At 40.2% G+C, this 20,458-nt stretch overlaps 1 protein-coding gene across 25 annotated transcripts in view, besides 1 other annotated feature; it reads right to left on the bottom strand.

Annotated features, from left to right (window-relative positions):
• The window catches only part of ANO10 (anoctamin 10), a 325,747-nt gene that overhangs the window by 186,537 nt on the left and 118,752 nt on the right, over positions 1–20,458 (bottom strand). For all 25 annotated transcript variants that reach the window (NM_001346469.2, NM_001346468.2, NM_001204833.3 and 22 more), the window contains 3 exons: positions 13,269–13,343; positions 8,836–9,018; positions 2,894–3,085 (listed from right to left, as the gene is read on the bottom strand). In NM_001346469.2, the coding sequence (NP_001333398.1) occupies positions 2,894–3,085; positions 8,836–9,018; positions 13,269–13,343 (450 nt within the window). The remainder of the gene's footprint in view (positions 1–2,893; positions 3,086–8,835; positions 9,019–13,268; positions 13,344–20,458) is intronic.
• Positions 13,152–13,874: an enhancer, noted in NCBI's record as "NANOG-H3K27ac-H3K4me1 hESC enhancer chr3:43607028-43607750 (GRCh37/hg19 assembly coordinates)". NCBI's record gives its function as "activates a minimal SCP1, AML or CMV promoter by ChIP-STARR-seq in naive and primed H9 embryonic stem cells {active_cell/tissue: H9 hESC(naive and primed)}" and the evidence as "EXISTENCE:reporter gene assay evidence [ECO:0000049][PMID:30033119]".

The raw sequence follows: 20,458 nt of genomic DNA on the forward strand, positions 1-20,458 counted from the left end.
AAAAAAATAAAAAAAATTTTTTTCTACATATATTTAGAATCATTGGACAGTATTATAAGTTTTGCTTCAACCATCAAACATAACATAGAAAACTCAATAAGAGAAGAAAAGTCTATTTTGTTTACTAATATTTTTGGTTACCATGTTTTTTCTTCTACAGGTTCCCAGATTTCTTCTTTCATAATTCCTTAGTTAAGAGAACTTCCTATAGCTATTCTCTTAGGATAGGTGTACTGGCAACAAATTCTCTTAGTTCGCCTGCATCTGAAAGTGTCTTGCTTTTTCCTTCATTTCTGAAAAATATTATCTCTGGATATATATATATATATATATATATATATATATGTATGTATGTATGTATGTATGTATGTATGTATGTATGTATATGTGTGTATTTTATATATATACACACACTATTTTCTTTTTGAGATGGAGCTTTGCTCTTGTCACCCAGGCTGGAGTGGAATGGCGCAATCTCAGCACACTGCAACCCCTGCCTCCCAGGTTCAAGCAATTCTCCTGCCTCAGCCTCTCAAGTAGCTGGGATTATGGGCACCCACAACCACACCCAGCTAATTTTTGTATTTTTGGTAGAGATGGGGTTTCACCATGTTGGTCAGGCTAGTCTCAAACTTCTGACCTCAGGTGATCCACCTGCCTCAGCCTCCCAAAGTGCTGGGATTACAGGCATGAGCCGCTGCACCCAGCCAGGATTCTATATTGACAATACTTTAAGGACCTGAAAAATATTTTGCCACTTTCTTCTGGCCTCCATAGCTTCCAATAAGAAATTGCCTGTCATTCTAATTGTTTTCCCCCTATAGGTAAGATGTTATTTCTCTTTTGATGCTCTTGAAATGCTGTCTTTAGCTTTCAAGTGTTTACGATGTGTGTTGGCAAGGATTTCTTTGGTTTATCTTGTTTGGGGTTCACAATGCTTCTTGAATCTGCAGTTTTGGGTCTCTTGCCACATTTAAAAAGTTCTTAGCCGTTATTTATTCAAGTACTTTTTGGGCCCCTCCCTCTTTCTTCTCTCCTTCTGTAACTCCAGTGACATGAATGTTAGCTCTTTTTTATACCCCCACAGGTCCCTGAGGCTATGTTTGTGCTTACAGAATATTTTCTCTCTGTTGTTCAGACTGGATAATTTCTCTCTTTTTTTTTTTTTTTGAGATGGAGTCCCACACTGTTGCTCGGGCTGGAGTGCAGTGGCGCAATCCAGCTCACTTCAACTTCTGCCTCCCAGGTTCAAGTGATTCTCCTGCCTCAGCCTCCCAAGTAGCTGGGATTATAAGTGCCCACCACCACGCCCAGCTAATTTTTTGTATTTTTAGTAGAGATGGGGTTTCACCACGTTGGCCAGGCTGGTCTCGAACTTCTGACCTCATGATCTGCCTGCCTTGGCCTCCCAAAGTGCTGGGATTACAGGCGTGAGCCACAGCACCCAGCTGATAATTTCTTTTATTCTATTTTCCAGTTTCTGATTCTTTCCTCTATCCCTTCCATTCTGCTGTTGCACTCATTCAGTGAGCTTTTTATTTCAATTATGGTATTTGTCACTTCTAAAATATCAATGTGATTCTCTTTTATATCTTCCATCTCTTTGCTGAGATATCCTAATTCTGTTTTTTCATTTGTTTCAGATATGGTCATAATTACTCATTGAAACTTTTATATAAGGCTGTTTTAAAATCTCTGTCCAATATTTCTAACCTGTGTCACCTTGGTAGTGGCATCTGCTGACTGTCTTTTCTCATTAAGCTTGATTTCTTCCTGGTTCTTTCTATGATGAGTGATTTTTCTTTTTTTTTTTTTTTTTCTTTTTTTGAGATGGAGTGTCGCTCTGTCACCCAGGCTGGAGTGTAATGATATGGTCTCAGCTCACTGCAATCTCTGCCTCTCGGCTTCAAGTGATTCTTCTGCCTCAGCCTCCTGAGTAGCTGGGATTACAGGCGCCCAGCAGCATGCTGGCTAATTTTTGTATTTTTAGTAGAGATGGGGTTTCACCATGTTGGCCAGGCTGGTCTCGAACTCCTGACCTCAGGTAATCCGCCTGCCTCAACCTCCCAAAGTGCTGGGATTACAGGTGTGAGCCACCATACCTGGTCTGATCAGTGATTTTTTAAATAGAAACCTGGACATGTTAGGAGAGATAAGATTCTATATCTCATTTAAACCTTCTGTTTTAGTTGATTTCTCTGACACCATTCCAGCAAGGGAAGAGGGGATAACGCCTTATTACTACCAGGTAGAGGTAGAAGTCCAGGTTCCCCATGTAGAAACCACTGGCATCCAGGGGGGATTCCTCATTATTGCTGGGCAAGGATGGGTGCTCTGCTTCCCACTAGACCTCTACTGATTCTTCCTTCAGGGAGAGAAGGACAGGTGCCTCATATATGTTCCCATGTGGCCTCCACTGTGCAGGGTTGTGGTGAAACTCCTTATATTCCACTAGGCTTCCTCTGAGACCACCCCAGGACTAGAAAACTAGACTAGCAAAAACTAAAAAAGGAGTCTCATTACTGCCAGATAGGAGCAGAAGTCTAGGCTCCCCATGTGGCTTCCACTGACACTGTAGCAGAGAGGGTCTCATTAATACTGGCTGAGATGAAGTCTTAGCTGGCTACTTTCCCAGAAGATTGTCAGAGTTTCACATCTAAAAGGGGTCTTAGAAATTATATTTATCTCCCCTAACCCCCAATTTTAAAAACAAGAAAAGTGAAGCTAGACAAAGTTAATGGTTATCCAAGGCCACACAGCTAGTTTGTAGCCAAACAAACAAATTCAGTTTTCCTAAATCTCTCTGTAGGGCTTACTTTTTAATTTTTTTTCCCTGTCATAACACCTCGTATTTTTATTTTTTAAAGGAATAATTTTTTTCTCAAACAATTACCTGCCACACACCAATATTGGCTGAAGGTTCTGAGAATGGACGTTTGAAGACCCTGCACATTTTTAAGGCATCTGAATTTACTTCAGTGAAGTTATTTAACACAGCAAAGGCAGCTGCTAATGGGTAAACACAGGAGAAAAGGCTCACATAACCAAACTGCAGGAATAACTCCAAGTAATCATCAAAGGTGCCCTGAAAATATAAACAAGCATGCATTATTTTAATATCATACAATAGGAATATCCTTTTGCAATACTAATCAAAGCTGTGGCCTCTAACTATTCAAAAAAACCTCAAAGAGTTTCCCCACCATACACCAGTGTTTCTCCAACTTCTGACACCCTCAGGCTTCATGATCATCCCACACACATGCAATAATAATTTCAGTTTAAGAAAAGTATTCATCACAATATTTTAAAGCAATCATAAGCATTAATATTTTCAAATTAATAAACATTATTATTATCGCATCTCTGAATCAGTCTTTCACTAAGATATGCATATTAGGCTCAGTATTAGTGTAAGTCAGAGTCCACTTCCAGTCAGTTTTTCTTATTTTATATTTTACTAAATAGAAAATCTCAAACACAACAATAGGGTATTGGGAATGGCAAAAGGTGCTTCTTCCAGATGTTCTGGATATCTGAATCAAGTATGAACCACCGATTCTGAGTCTCACTGGCTATTTTCGAGGTTCACCAGAAAGTACCACTAAACACATAAACCTCAGAACTGGCAGGTTACATGCTCAACTTGGGATTCAAGGGCGAGCAGTTTCTAAATAACTTGGTTGGTTGCATTTGGCTCTAGATGGTATGTTCTCATGTTGTGTTGCAGCATCTAGTTATGGTTCTTAAATATACCCAGTGACATTGCATCAATCTCTTTCTCTGAAGGATGAATAAATCAAGAGTTGGGAAAAGAGTAAAAATCTTAGCAATCAAGCCATTTTTACCACATTCAGTCTTAAGAAATCCTGATACCCTATGCTCAGCATTCAAAATTGCACTGTTTCAGGCTGTAAAGATCAAGCCTGTGCAGAGATGTGCAGGCAGTTTTTCTCAGGTGTGCTATTGGGAAGCCTCTGAAAATCATGCAAAGGCCTTCTTGGAGTTATTAGTGTATAGCACCAGGGGAGCCCTTTCCAAACACAGCAGCGTGCTCCACACTCTGTGTTTCCCCACACTCTGTGTTTCCATCTCTCGGGGTGATTCTGAGTGATGATAGCTACACGTTAACACTGTATCAGCACCTTTTACACTTCTGAGTGCTTTTGAGCCAAGAAATTTAGCAAACCAAGGACATAATCCAACAGCAAGAAGGAAAAAAAATGAAAATTCAACAAAGAAAACACATACACACACTAAGAATATATTAACCAAGACACAATCTACCCTATTCTCTCTTTTTGTTGGACCATGCTATCAACACTCAGCTGAGAAGTTTTAAACTGATAAAATGTTATTTACTAAAAACACGGAACAAACATAACACACAATGGTGAGAAGATAAAAAAATCAGAAATAAGATAAAGATTCCTGTGATAATTACTTCTATTCAAATTGTATTGAACATACCAGTAAGCCTAGTAGATAATAAAAAGGGTAAAAACTGAAGGAAGAAAGAAAATGGTCATTATTTATAGCTCAAATTACTGTCTATGTAGAAAATCCAACAAAATCTATAGAAAATGTTTTGGAAATAACAGGAGAGTTCAGCAAAATTGTGGGTAAAAGATATAAAAATTAACAGCATTCCCATATGCCAGCAACAAACAATTAGAAATTGTATTTTTAAAGAGATACTATTTATAAAAAGGAAAAGGAAAGTTTCAAAAGTATTGACCCACAGATAATTTATTCATTATAAAATGAAGGAAAAAAAAAAACACTGTGCAATCTGCCTTTTACCAAGCCAACCGAATGATCAAACAAGGTGACCCCACAAAATGGGCAACCAGACGTCAACACATCCTGATGGGGTACAATGGTGGTATACTTCCAAAATCATTTCACTCAAATCTTATGAGAAATAAGATCAAACAATAGATTTACAAAAGCCAATTCCTTGAAAAACGGCAAGGAGGTTGTTCTAGAGCTGTAGTTTTCAAGCTTTTTTGGTCTTAAGGAGCCCTAAACTCTTAAAAATTATTGAGGACATTAAAGACATTTTGTTTGGCCAGGCGCAGTGGCTCACGCCTGTAATTCCAGCACTTTGGGAGGCCGAGGCGGGTGGATCACGAGGTCAGGAGATTGAGACCATCCTGGCTAACATGGTGAAAACCTGTCTCTACTAAAAATACAAAAAATTAGCCGGGCATGGTGGCAGGCACCTGTAGTCCCAGCTATTTGGGAGGCTGAGGCAGGAGAATGGTATAAACCTGGGAGGCGGAGCTTGCAGTGAGCCAAGATCGCACCACTGCACTCCAGCCTGGGCAACAGAGCGAGACTCTGTCTCAAAAAAAAAAAAAAAAAAAAAAGACGTTTTGTTTATGTGAGTTTATCTAGTTGATGCTTTGATGCTTACCATATTATTAATTAAAACTGAGAAATTAGGTCAGGCATGGTGGCTCATCCCAACACTTTGGGAGGCCAAGGTGGGAGAACTGCTTAAATCCAGGAGTTCAAGACCAGCCTGGGCAACACAGTGAGAGCCCATCTCTACAAAAAATACAAAAATAAGCCAGGCATGATGGTACATGCCTGTAGTCCCAGCTACTCAGGAGGCTGAGGTAGAAGGATCGCTTGAGCCTGGGAGGTTGAGGTTGCAGTGAGCCACTATTGCCACCACTGCCCTCCAACCTGTGTGACAAAGTGAGACCCTGTCTCACCAGAAAAAAAAAAAAAAAAAGCTGAGAAATTTTAAAGATCTTCCATTAATACATTTAAATAATAACATATTAACATAAATGTCTTTTGAAAAATAATTACATTTCAAAAAATGTTAATGCAGACTGGCACTTTTTACATTTCTGGCAAACCTCTGTAATGTATCATTTAGTAGAAGGCAGTTCATTTACTGTGCAGCAATATGATGTTCTACTTGGAATAGTCGTCATGAAAATTCAGCCTCACCCAGCTATGCAGTTGGATATGAGTGGGCAGTTCACAGGAAAAGGACAGCAGAGGACAGTGAAGATCTAGGAAGCAACACAGCTTAGTCCTGGGCTGGTGGAACAGCAATCAGGAGACCCAGGGGATTACCATGGGTGGGAATATTACAGAGAATTTCTTTTTATATATTGACTCTATCCTGCATTTTCTAAGTTTTCTACAGGGAGTGAGAAAGTATTACTTTTATAGTAATGTTTTTAAAGTTTCGGCCAAATTGCTTTTTCCCAAAGCTTGGCAACATTATTTTAGACTCACATATAACAGTCAGGATGAGCTTACAGAAAATACAGTTCTAAATTCATTGATTTCAATTAGGAGAAAAATGGACCCAGAAGAAAGGATTCATGCATAGGAAACAATCATCTAGAATAAATGTGATCCAAAAGTATCCCCGCCTCCAAATACATGGAGAGAACTGAAATGGCAAATATCCAACATCACTCCAGTGGAGACGGTGAAAAAGAAACCTGTAAGAGATCAGGAGTGGGAAATGGCCAGATCACGCAGAACCCTGCAGGTCCAAAAAGGAGTGGCACTGTAAACCCTAGAGTTCAGTCACAGACCCAGAGCCTGAGAGAGAAATCAATATATTATTTCCTTTACTTCACATCAGAGAACCTGTGGTGTATAACAGAAAGATTCTGAATTGGGAAGGCAAGGTCTTGAACCTTCTTTCTGATTTAGTCACCAAATAATTAATGACATAGAGCTTCATTTGCTTATTTTTGACATGGGAATAGCCATGCCTCCCTCACCGTCCTTCATAAAGGTTTTGTCAGATACCCTGAAATGTCAAAAGAGGTAAGATCTGAGATTTTGGCAGTGTCACATCACTGGCATACAGTTCTTAGATAAATTAGAATTGCTCAGATGAGGACTGTACTAAAAACCATTCACTGAGCCAGGGGCAAAGCAGGAGAAACCCATCTTCAGAAGATTATGAATCGTGTTTTGGGTACTTCAGGAGATAATGTTGTTTGCCCAAACTATTTCAGAGAAAAAGAACAGCTGAAAGCAGATTCTAATTGATTATAGAAAGAGAAGTAGGAAACTAAAGACAACAATATGGAGAATTATTGCAGAAAACTGTGAGGGGAAGGAAAGACAGGATAAAAACAGCAGAAGATGTGAAGAGTTTGCTTAGTTCAAAATAGGCAAGTTGCTGACTTGGTGGAGCAGTTAGGAGGAGAAGAAGTAGATACAAGAGTACCAGGTGATGGCTGGTGACAGAAGGCCTCCAAAGATGAGGGGGGATGGAATGAGAGTACAGGGGATGGACTGCTGGTGCAGTTTCTATAAGACAGTGAAAAAAGGAAAAGAAATGTGGCCAAGAATACCACCCCCAAGCATAGGCAAGGAAAGGATCCTGACATAATGGGAACTTTTATCCCATAGTAAAATGACATAATTTAACTTTTATCCCATAGTAAGCTAGCACTCAACCAATCCAGAAAGGACAGCTCCACACTTGTGCCCACATGCTCCTTCTCTTTAATTCTTCCTCTGTGAGACAGAGTAGGTGTGTGTCTTTTCTCTATGCTTCATATATAAATATAAACAATGTTACTGTTCAAAGTTTACTATGTGTTTATACTTTGAATCATCTCCCTCAAACACAGCAATGACAGAAGGGGCTAGGATCTGTATCCTATGGGGAGGAGAACCAAGAGCACCCTCTCCCCTGGAGTGTAACTGGAGCCAGGCTTGCTGAGCAAAACCAGGGGTTGGGACAATGCTCCCTGCCCTTCAAAGGAGGCTTTAAAAAAGCTACAACTGCTGCCTGGTAACTACAGCTATGTCAACAGCATGCCACCTACTGGCTCTGTGACCAGATCTATAAAATCCTCATCACCACCACAAGATGGGAGCTCTGGGCTACAAACACCTGGTTCTGGATGAGGGGCTTGGAGGCTCAGTGGGGGCAACTGCAAAAAATAAGGCAGAAGTGAGCAGAGAGAAAAAGACAAAGTCCTACTCAACATGAACATACAAATTCCTAAGCACATGAGAAAAATTATGAAAGTCAGTCAAGACACTCAAAAATCAGGAGATAAACTCATTCAAGATGAAAAACAAGACTATGAAAGTTTCACAATAATGGGCTCTCAGTAAATGACCCACTGAAGGATCTATTTCACCAGAAAGAATACTGTAGCAACAAGGAAGGTGCAGGATGTTAAGAAACAATGGCCTAAAAAAAATGTGAAATATAGAAACAGTGAATGTAGTCAGAGCTCAATAAAAGTTGGCTGAACACATAGATTTTATGAGCTAGACCTTTCAAATATTAAAAGTGTAAATCTCTAATGATCTGCTTGTAGTTCCTAAAAGTAATTCAGAAAGTCTCTGTCTTAAAAGAACTGTTTTATATTTATACAATAGCACTAATGTAAACTAAAATTCAATCTTCAGATTGGCATTCCATTGTTCATCAATGAGTCTCTATCTTTTGTTTGTGCAGCCATCATTTTCCATGAGTTTGAAGTGTCAAGAGCGAGCAATGCTGCTGCCTCTTCAGGGACCATCTCTCCCGTTCTGTCATCTCTGGGGCAACTATTCTACCCTGCTCTCCGCAAAGCAAAGCAGTCATGTAATTCTCCAAATTTGCCCTTTGGTGTCATTATGCGTAACTTTAGATTTCAGACAGCAGTGCTTCAATGCAAAGTTCTATCCCTTTCACTTTAAAGTGGTTCATGATGAGGAAACTGACTGGAAAGCACTTCTAGAATAGTCACATCTGAGATCATGAATGTATAACATTTGTTGAACTCAGTGCATGGCTATTATTCACTCTCAGTAAATGTTTAATTCAGCAATATTCCAACTTACCAAATAAGTTCCCATTTCTTTTTCCAGGATGACTTGTTCATATAATGTAGCATCAATGTCTGCCTTTAAAGCCTGCACCTTCCTCTTCACCCGCACACCATGCTTCCTTTGGAGCCAATAAGGAAGAAAAGATTCCATAATTTGGTTGAGGATCTGGGAGGTAATTAGGAGAGTGGCCAAGCTCTAAAGAGAAGCACACAAATCACATTTTGGGAATACAGCTTAATAAAACTATAGCATTTGTATAAATTATATATAAATTAAACTACAGTATTTATAGCATAAATACAATTATGCAACAAATAAAATGGAATCTTCAATAAATAGCATACTATTGTGTTATAAAAACTAGTATTAGAAAAGCTAGGTGTTAGAATGGTGTTTCTAATTTATGGTTTTTCACATGAAAGACCAAGATTAAAAGATAAATAAGATTATAATACAAATAATGTTATAATAAGAAACAAACTGGTCAATTAAACAGTCCCAACACAAGGAAATAATAAATGTTTGAGAGGATGGATATGTTAACTACCCTGATCTGACTGCGATACATTTTATGTATTAAAACATCACCAAGTACTTCATGAATATGTACAATTATTTGTCAATTCTACAACTTTAAAAAAAGAATCATTACAAAAATGAATTAACTTGCAATTGTGTTCTTCGACATTTCATCCTGACTGCAACATATAAATCTAAATGATGTTGCCAACTCTGGATAAAAAAAGTTTGGCTAAATTCTTTTTTAAAGAATTTAAATTATACCACTAATACATACCCTCACTACAAAAATAAAACAGAAAAAAAATCCACATATTTACAGTCAACTGATTTTCTATAAAGGCACTAAGAATGTATATTGAGGCAGGGTGCAGTGGCTCATGCCTGTAATCCCAGTACTTTGAGAGGCCAAGGCGGGCAGATCACCTGAGATGGAAAGTTTGAGGCCGGGCACAGTGGCTCACACCTGTAATCCCAGCACTTTGGGAGGCCGAGGCGGGCAGATCACGAGGTCAGGAGATCGAGACCATCCTGGCTAACACGGTGAAATCCTGTCTCTACTAAAAATACAAAAAGTTAGCCGGGCATGGTGGCACGTGCCTGTAGTCCCAGCTACTCAGGAAGCTGAGGCAGGAGAATGGCGTGAACCCAGGAGGCGGAGCTTGCAGTAAGCCAAGATCGCGCCACTGCACTCCAGCCTGGGCGGCAGAACGAGGCTCTGTCTCAAACAAAAAAAAAAAAAAAAGAAGTTTGAGACCAGCCTGGCCAACATGGTGAAACCCCACCTCTACTAAAAATACAAAAATTAGCCAGGCGTGGTGGCGCACATCTGTAATCCCAGCTACTTGGGAGGCTGAGGTACAAGAAACGCTTGAACCTAGGAGGTAGAGGCTGCAGTGAGCCAAGGCTGTGCCACTGCACTCCAGCCTGGGCAACAGAGTGAGACTCCATCTAAAAAAAAAAAAGAAGAATGTATATTGGAGAAAAAACACCCTCTTCAATAAATGGTGCTGGGAAAACCAGGTATCTATATGCAGAAGAATGAAACTAGACCCCTCTCTATCACCACAAACAAAAGTCAACTCAAAATGGATTAAAGATCTAAACATAAGACCCAAAACTATAAAACTACTAGAAGAAAACATAGGGGAAATACTACAGGACATTGGTCTAAGCAAAGTTCCCACCATTTTATGGCTAGGACCTAAAAAGCACAGGCAACAAAACCAAAAATAGACAACTGTGACTATATTAAAGAAAAAAGTTTCTGCACAGCAAAGGAAACAACACAGTGAAGAGACAATCTGTTGAATGGGAGAAAAGATCTGCAGACTACTCATCTGACAAGGAACTAATACCTAGAATACCAGAATATACAAGGAACTCAAACAATACCAAAAATACAAATAATCCCATTAAAGTAGGCAAAAGACATGAATAGACATTTCTCTAAAGAAGACATTTACATAGCCACAGGTATATGAAAAAATACTCAACACCACTCATCATCAGGGACATGCAAATCAAAGCCACAATGAGATATCATCCTACTCCAAATAGAATTGCTATTATTAAAAAGACCCAAAAAATCCAGATGCTGACAAGAACGTGCAACAAAGGGAACTCTTATACACTGTTGTTGGTAGAAATGGAAATTGATACAGACATTATATAAAAGAGTATGGCGAGAGGTTTTTTTTTTTTTTTTTTTGAGACATCTAAAAAAAAACCTGAAAATAGAACAACCATAGAATCCAGCATTCTGACTACTGGGTATTTATCCAAAGGAAAAGAAATGAGCATATCAAACGGACACCTGCACCCCCATGTTTACTGCAGCACTATTTGTAACAATAAAGAAACAGAATCAACCTCAGTGTCTATCAACAGATGAATAGATAAGGAAAATGTGGTATATATACACAATGGAATACTAGTTGGCCATAAAAAAGACTGAAATTCTGTCAATTGCAGCAACACGGATGGAACTGGAGGTCATTATGTTAAGTGAAATAAGCCGGGCACAGAAAGACAAATATCACAGGCTCCCACTCACACTTGGGAGCTAAAAAAGTTGATCTCATAGAGATAGAGTGGGACGACGGTTACCAGAGGCTGGGTGGGTGTGTGTTGGGGAGAGGAGGATAAAGAGAAGCTGATCGAGAGGTACAAACATACAATTAGAGAGAAGAAATAAGTTCTAACATATGAGAGCAGAGTAGGGTGATTATGGTTAACAATAATGTATTGTATGCTCCCAACATATAGAAATGATAAATACTCGAGATGATAGATACTCTAAATACCTTGATTGATCATTACACATTTTTTTTTTTGAGACACGGTCTCACTTTGCAGTGCAGTGGCGTGATCACAGTTCACTGCAGCCTGGAGCTCCCAGGCTCAGACAATCCTCCCACCTCAGTCTCCCAGGTAGCTGAGACTACAGGCAAGTGCTACCACACCCAGGTAACTTTTTGTATATTTGGTAGAGACAGGATTTTGCCACGTTGCCCAGGTTGGTCTTGAACTCCTGGGCTCAAGCAATCTGCCTGCCTCAGCCTCCTAAAGTGCTGGGATTACAGGTATGAGCCATTATGCCCGGCCTTCATTACACATTTTATGAATGTAACAAAACAGCATATGTACCCCATAAAAATGTACAACTATGTATGTATTATTAAAAAAAAAATAGAAAAAAAGAGCCACCCATAATTACACAACCATGACAAAACCACTGCTACTTCTTGGGATATTTCTTTCCAATCATATATAAAAATAAAACTATAATTATCCTATATGGATACACTTTGTTTACTGCTTTTCTCACTTAATATGTTTGAGCATTTTCCCGTATCATTAAAAATTCTTTTTTACTTGGCCTGTACACTGCTGTTGAATTAACTATTACTCCCAATTTTGGCTATTATAATGCTGGTGCTTGGATATCTATGTACATGAATCTTTGCTCCTCTCTGAAGATTTACTAGGGATGAGTTAAGTTTCTTGGCAAAGCTATCAAGAGAGCTGGTTTCCAGAGATGTATCAATCTCCACTTTTCTCAGATAGATATGAATGTTTCCATCACACCCCACCTTTGCTGGTATTACAACTGTTTTTTTAAGCGGTCCTCCTCCATTCCCCTATCTTCTGCTAAGTAAAGGAGACTCTCTAAAGCAGAAGAAATGAGAAGTCACATCCAACTAATACACTATTACATGGGACCACTGTTACATGTACATCCAACTCATCAATTCCAAATGTACTACTTTAAACTTTCTCTATTTTGAAAAATAATTTTTAACAAGTGGAGTCTAGCCTTTGAGACTGCTCACCAACAATCTCAGAATATTAAAACTGGGAAAAAACAGCCATTTACTTATAACTGGTTCAAATATAAAAAGGAGAATTTAGAAATCAATAATTTGTTCTTAATTTATTATTCATTGGTATTATGTGATCCAGAAATGACAACACACCAAAATAAATGTCAGACACTTTAGAAAAGATACAGCACTGCATAGGATCCACTGGTCTCTAAAGTTTAACAACTTATTAACTTAAAAATTAAATTTGCGAGACCTAAGGTTACACCAATCATCCCCATCCAAGGCACACAAAACAGTTCAGTTAATGAATACTATATTTTTGCTGTTAGAGTTGCTTACAAGCTTTGAGGTGAACTATATAATTGATTTTACTGCCCTATACTTAATTTTTCAGGTTGGTTAGGTTCAACTCATTTCAGTTGAGCATAATACACAATGCCATTCCTAATAATTTTTTATTTAGAATTTGGCTTAAAAACATACAAAATTTAAAAGATTTTATTTGTAAAAATAATTTGAAGGCAATTACAGCATCTAAAGATAGAAAACCACCTCTATGACCTAAAAAATTGGTATTTTTCTGTTATTTTTACTTACCTGGCGCAAAAGCTTCATATCTTTCAAGACAAAGGCAATATAGAAGAGTGAGGCAAAGCAATTGAGGAAGTTGAACTGCCAAAAAAAAAAAAAAAAAAGATAAGTGTTAAGCACTGCTTTAGAGTACTTTACTACAACTGTAATGCAGCATTTAAAAATGTAATGGGAGCGGGGAGGAGCCAAGAGGGCCGAATAGGAACAGCTCCAGTCTACAGCTCCCAGCCTGAGCGACGCAGAAGACGGGTGATTTCTGCATTTACATCTGAGGTACCGGGTTCATCTCACTAGGGAGTGCCAGACAGTGGACGCAGGTCAGTGGGTGCGCGCACCGTGTGCGAGCCGAAGCAGGGCAAGGCATTGCCTCCCTTGGGAAGCGCAAGGGGTCAGGGAGTTCCCTTTCTGAGTCAAAGAAAGGGGTGACGGACGGCACCTGGAAAATCGGGTCACTCCCACCAGAATACTGCGCTTTTCCGACGGGCTTAAAAAATGGCGCACCACGAGATTATATCCTGCACCTGGCTCGGAGGGTCCTACGCCCACGGAGTCTCGCTGATTGCTAGCACAGCAGTCTGAGATCAAACTGCAAGGCGGCAGCGAGGCTGGGGGAGGGGCGCCCGCCATTGCCCAGGCTTGATTAGGTAAACAAAGCAGCTGGGAAGCTCGAACTGGGTGGAGCCCACCACAGCTGAAGGAGGCCTGCCTGCCTCTGTAGGCTCCACCTCTGGGGGCAGGGCACAGACAAACAAAAAGACAGCAGTAACCTCTGCAGACTTAAATATCCCTGTCTGACAGCTTGGAAGAGAGCAGTGGTTCTCCCAGCACGCAGCTGGAGATATGAGAATGGGCAGACTGCCTCTTCAAGTGGGTCCCTGACCCCTGACCCCCGAGCAGCCTAACTGGGAGGCACCCCCCAGCAGGGGTACACTGACACCTCACACGGCAGGGTATTCCAACAGACCTGAAGCTGAGGGTCCTGTCTGTTAGAAGGAAAACTAACAAACAGAAAGGACATCCACACCAAAAACCCATCTGTACATCACCATCATCAAAGACCAAAAGTAGATAAAACCACAAAGATGGGGAAAAACCTGAACAGAAAAACTGGAAACTCTAAAAAGCAGAGCGCCTCTCCTCCTCCAAAGGAACGCAGTTCCTCAGCAACGGAACAAAGCTGGATGGAGAATAACTTTGACGAGCTGAGAGAAGAAGGCTTCAGACGATCAAATTACTCTGAGCTACGGGAGGACATTCAAACCAAAGGCAAAGAAGTTGAAAACTTTGAAAAAAATTCAGAAGAATCTATAACTAGAATAACCAATACAGAGAAGTGCTTAAAGGAGCTGATGGAGCTGAAAACCAAGGCTCGAGAACTACGTGAAGAATGCAGAAGCCTCAGGAGCTGATGCAATCAACTGGAAGAAAGGGTATCGGCAATGGAAGATGAAATGAATGAAATGAAGTGAGAAGGGAAGTTTAGAGAAAAAAGAATAAAAAGAAATGAGCAAAGCCTCCAAGAAATATGGGACTATGTGAAAAGACCAAATCTACATCTGATTGGTGTACCTAAAAGTGATGGGGAGAATGGAACCAAGTTGGAAAACACTCTGCAGGATATTATCCAGGAGAACTTCCCCAATCTAGCAAGGCAGGCCAACGTTCAGATTCAGGAAATACAGAGAACGCCACAAAGATACTCCTCGAGAAGAGCAACTCCAAGACACATAATTGTCAGATTCACCAAAGTTGATATGAAGGAAAAAATGTTAAGGGCAGCCACAGAGAAAGGTCGGGTTACCCTTAAAGGGAAGCCCATCAGACTAACAGCAGATCTCTCGGCAGAAACTCTACAAGCCAGAAGAGAGTGGGGGCCAATATTCAACATTCTTAAAGAAAAGAATTTTCAACCCAGAATTTCATATCCAGACAAACTAAGCTTCATAAGTGAAGGAGAAATAAAATACTTTATAGACAAGCAAATGCTGAGAGATTTTGTCACCACCAGGCCTGCCTTACAAGAGCTCCTGAAGGAAGCACTAAACATGGAAAGGAACAACTGGTACCAGCCACTGCAAAATCATGCCAAAATGTAAAGACCATCGAGACTAGGAAGAAACTGCATCAACTAACGAGCAAACTAACCAGCTAACATCATAATGACAGGATCAAATTCACACATAACAATATTAACTTTAAATGTAAATGGACTAAATGCTCCAATTAAAAGACACAGACGGGCAAACTGGATAAAGACTCAAGACCCATCAGTGTGCTGTATTCAGGAAACCCATCTCACGTGCAGAGACACCCACAGGCTCAAAATAAAAGGATGGAGGAAGATCTACCAAGCCAATGGAAAACAAAAAAAGGCAGGGGTTGCAATCCTAGTCTCTGATAAAACAGACTTTAAACCAACAAAGATCAAAAGAGACAAAGAAGGCCATTACATAATGGTAAAGGGATCAATTCGACAAGAAGAGCTAACTATCCTAAATATATATGCACCCAATACAGGAGCACCAAGATTCATAAAGCAAATCCTTAGAGACCTACAAAGAGACTTAAGACTCCCACACATTAATAATGGGAGACTTTAACACCCTACTGTCAACATTAGACAGATCAACGAGACAGAAAGTCAACAAGGATACCCAGGAATTGAACTCAGCTCTGCACCAAGTGGACCTAATAGACATCTACAGAACTCTCCACCCCATATCAACAGAATATACATTTTTATCAGCACCACACCACACCTATTCCAAAATTGACCACATAGTTGGAAGTAAAGCACTCCTCAGCAAATGTAAAAGAACAGAAATTATAACAAACTATCTCTCAGACCACAGTGCAATCAAACTAGAACTCAGGATTAAGAATCTCACTCAAAACCGCTCAACTACATGGAAACTGAACAACCTGCTCCTGAATGACTACTGGGTACATAACGAAATGAAGGCAGAAATAAAGATGTTCTTTGAAACCAACGAGAACAAAGACACAACATACCAGAATCTCTGGGGCGCATTCAAAGCAGTGTGTAGAGGGAAATTTATAGCACTAAATGCCCACAAGAGAAAGCAGGAAAGATCCAAAATTGACACCCTAACATCACAATTAAAAGAACTAGAAAAGCAAGAGCAAACACATTCAAAAGCTAGCAGAAGGCAAGAAATAACTAAAATCAGAGCAGAACTGAAGGAGATAGAGACACAAAAAACCCTTCAAAAAATGAATGAATCCAGGAGCTGGTTTTTTGAAAGGATCAACAAAATTGATAGACCGCTAGCAAGACTAATAAAGAAAAAAAGAGAGAAGAATCAAATAGACGCAATAAAAAATGATAAAGGGGATATCACCACCGATCCCACAGAAATACAAACTACCATCAGAGAATACTACAAACACCTCTACGCAAATAAACTAGAAAATCTAGAAGAAATGGATAAATTCCTCGACACATACACTCTCCCAAGACTAAACCAAGAAGAAGTTGAATCTCTGAATAGACCAATAACAGGAGCTGAAATTGTGGCAATAATCAATAGCTTACCAACCAAAAAGAGTCCAGGACCAGATGGATTCACAGCCGAATTCTACCAGAGGTACAAGGAGGAACTGGTACCATTCCTTCTGAAACTATTCCAATCAATAGAAAAAGAGGGAATCCTCCCTAACTCATTTTATGAGGCCAGCATCATTCTGATACCAAAGTCGGGCAGAGACACAACCAAAAAAGAGAATTTTAGACCAATATCCTTGATGAACATTGATGCAAAAATCCTCAATAAAATACTGGCAAAACGAATCCAGCAGCACATCAAAAAGCTTATCCACCATGATCAAGTGGGCTTCATCCCTGGGATGCAAGGCTGGTTCAATATACGCAAATCAATAAATGTAATCCAGCATATAAACAGAGCCAAAGACAAAAACCACATGATTATCTCAATAGATGCAGAAAAAGCCTTTGACAAAATTCAACAAACCTTCATGCTAAAAACTCTCAATAAATTAGGTATTGATGGGATGTATTTCAAAATAATAAGAGCTATCTATGACAAACCCACAGCCAATATCATACTGAATGGGCAAAAACTGGAAGCATTCCCTTTGAAAACTGGCACAAGACAGGGATGCCCTCTCTCACCACTCCTATTCAACATAGTGTTGGAAGTTCTGGCCAGGGCAATTAGGCAGGAGAAGGAAATAAAGGGTATTCAATTAGGAAAAGAGGAAGTCAAATTGTCCCTGTTTGCAGATGACATGATTGTATATCTAGAAAACCCCATTGTCTCAGCCCAAAATCTCCTTAAGCTGATAAGCAACTTCAGCAAAGTCTCAGGATACAAAATCAATGTACAAAAATCACAAGCATTCTTATACACCAACAACAGACAGAGAGCCAAATCAGGAGTGAACTCCCATTCACAATTGCTTCAAAGAGAATAAAATACCTAGGAATCCAACTTACAAGGGATGTGAAGGACCTCTTCAAGGAGAACTACAAACCACTGCTCAAGGAAATAAAAGAGGATACAAACAAATGGAAGAACATTCCATGCTCATGGGTAGGAAGAATCAATATTGTGAAAATGGCCATACTGCCCAAGGTAATTTACAGATTCAATGCCATCCCCATCAAGCTACCAATGACTTTCTTCACAGAATTGGAAAAAACTACTTTAAAGTTCATATGGAACCAAAAAAGAGCCCGCATCGCCAAGGCAACCCTAAGCCAAAAGAACAAAGCTGGAGGCATCACACTACCTGACTTCAAACTATACTACAAGGCTACAGTCACCAAAACAGCATGGTACTGGTACCAAAACAGAGATATAGATCAATGGAACAGAACAGAGCCCTCACAAATAACGCCGCATATCTACAACTATCTGATCTTTGACAAACCTCACAAAAACAAGCAATGGGGAAGGGATTCCCTATTTAATAAATGGTGCTGGGAAAACTGGCTAGCCATATGTAGAAAGCTGAAACTGGATCCCTTCCTTACACCTTATACAAAAATCAATTCAAGATGGATTAAAGACTTAAACGTTAGACCTAAAACCATAAAAACCCTAGAAGAAAACCTAGGCATTACCATTCAGGACATAGGCATGGGCAAGGACTTCATGTCTAAAACACCAAAAGCAATGGCAACAAAAGACAAAATTGACAAATGGGATCTAATTAAACTAAAGAGCTTCTGCACAGCAAAAGAAACTACCATCAGAGTGAACAGGCAACCTACAAAATGGGAGAAAATTTTCGCAACCTACTCATCTGACAAAGGGCTAATATCCAGAATCTACAATGAACTCCAACAAATTTACAAGAAAAAAACAAACAACCCCATCAAAAAGTGGGCGAAGGACATGAACAGATACTTCTCAAAAGAAGACATTTACGCAGCCAAAAAACACATGAAAAAATGCTCATCATCACTGGCCATCAGAGAAATGCAAATCAAAACCACAATGAGATACCATCTCACACCAGTTAGAATGGCAATCATTAAAAAGTCAGGAAACAACAGGTGCTAGAGAGGATGTGGAGAAATAGGAACACTTTTACACTGTTGGTGGGACTGTAAACTAGTTCAACCATTGTGGAAGTCAGTGTGGCGACTCCTCAGGGATCTAGAACTGGAAATACCATTTGACCCAGCCATCCCATTACTGAGTATATACCCAAAGGACTATAAATCATGCTGCTATAAAGACACATGCACACGTATGTTTATTGCGGCATTATTCACAATAGCAAAGACTTGGAACCAACCCAAATGTCCAACAATGATAGACTGGATTAAGAAAATGTGGCACATATACACCATGGAATACTACGCAGCCAGAAAAAATGATGAGTTCATGTCCTTTGTAGGGACATGGATGAAACTGGAAATCATCATTCTCAGTAAACTATCGCAAGAACAAAAAACCAAACACTGCATATTCTCACTCATAGGTGGGAACTGAACAATGAGATCACATGGACACAGGAAGGGGAATATCACACTCTGGGGACTGTTGTGGGGTGGGGGCAGGGGGGAGGGATAGCATTGGGAGATATACCTAATGCTAGATGACGAGTTAGTGGGTGCAGCGCACCAGCATGGCACATGTATACATATGTAACTAACCTGCACAATGTGCACATGTACCCTAAAACTTAAAGTATAAAAAAAAAAAAGAAGTATTTTCCTACATTAAAAAAAAAAAAAAAAGAAAAATGTAATGGGAGACTTCCAGTCTAAATGAAATGGTAAAGACTTGTTTCTCCCCATGTCTCCTTATTAAATAAACAAACTCTGGAAATAACAAACAAGGCAACCAAAGGAGAACTCTGAAAGGTGCTTAAAGGAAGACGAGATGGTTTAGGACCCCAGAGCTGAAGGAACAGCACAGCACGTGCACACCTTAAGTTCCCCCACCCAACAGAAGGAGGAGACCAAGGCCTGACATTTCCCAACCCCAACCTACCACCCAGGTAGCCCAAGTAGGCTCATTCCTCCCACATTTGAATAGGAATCCTGTCAGTGCCAGGGGAGCCCTGCTAAATTGGCAAGGGGAAATCAATCAGGACCCCCCCACCAACAATAAGTTTCCTGGGGAAGTGCTCTTCTTCCTTGCTGGGCCTGGGACTCCCCTGCTCCACAGAGAGATCCCAGGATGGCCAGGCAGCACTGGCAAGAAGGACCCTATCACAGCAAGCCTATGCCTGGAAACCTCATCAAAAGTAAGTGGGGCAGATGGGTGGCACTGGCAAGGGGGCCCCTGCCACAAGGGCCTGATATAAGAGGCCTCTTCATGCCTATGTACCTGAGATTCTCTCTATCGCAGAGAGACAGCAGGTAACTGGGAGGCTATAACAACCAGTCTGGCCTGGGAAGCATCTTTGTCACCATAAGCATGAACTCCCCTGCCCTGCCAGATACACAGAAGCAGGCTGGGTGAAGGGGATTACCAATCAAGGGGATCCTGCCACAAAAAGTGCCATCTCTTCCAGGAGTTCCCTGCTCAAGAACCTATAGCTTACTTCCTGCACCAATGGGTTTCCTTTCTGCCTCCCAGCCCCCATGCTGACTACTTCCAACCCAGTAGCATCACTTAGACAAAGGCTGCTATGTGTACAGGTGTGAGTGCTTAATTACTGCGGAGATGGGGAGTCATTCTAGAAAGTGAGCAGTA

The sequence above is a fragment of the Homo sapiens genome, chromosome 3, assembly GCF_000001405.40.
Source record: "Homo sapiens chromosome 3, GRCh38.p14 Primary Assembly".
NCBI classification, from domain to species: domain Eukaryota; kingdom Metazoa; phylum Chordata; class Mammalia; order Primates; family Hominidae; genus Homo; species Homo sapiens.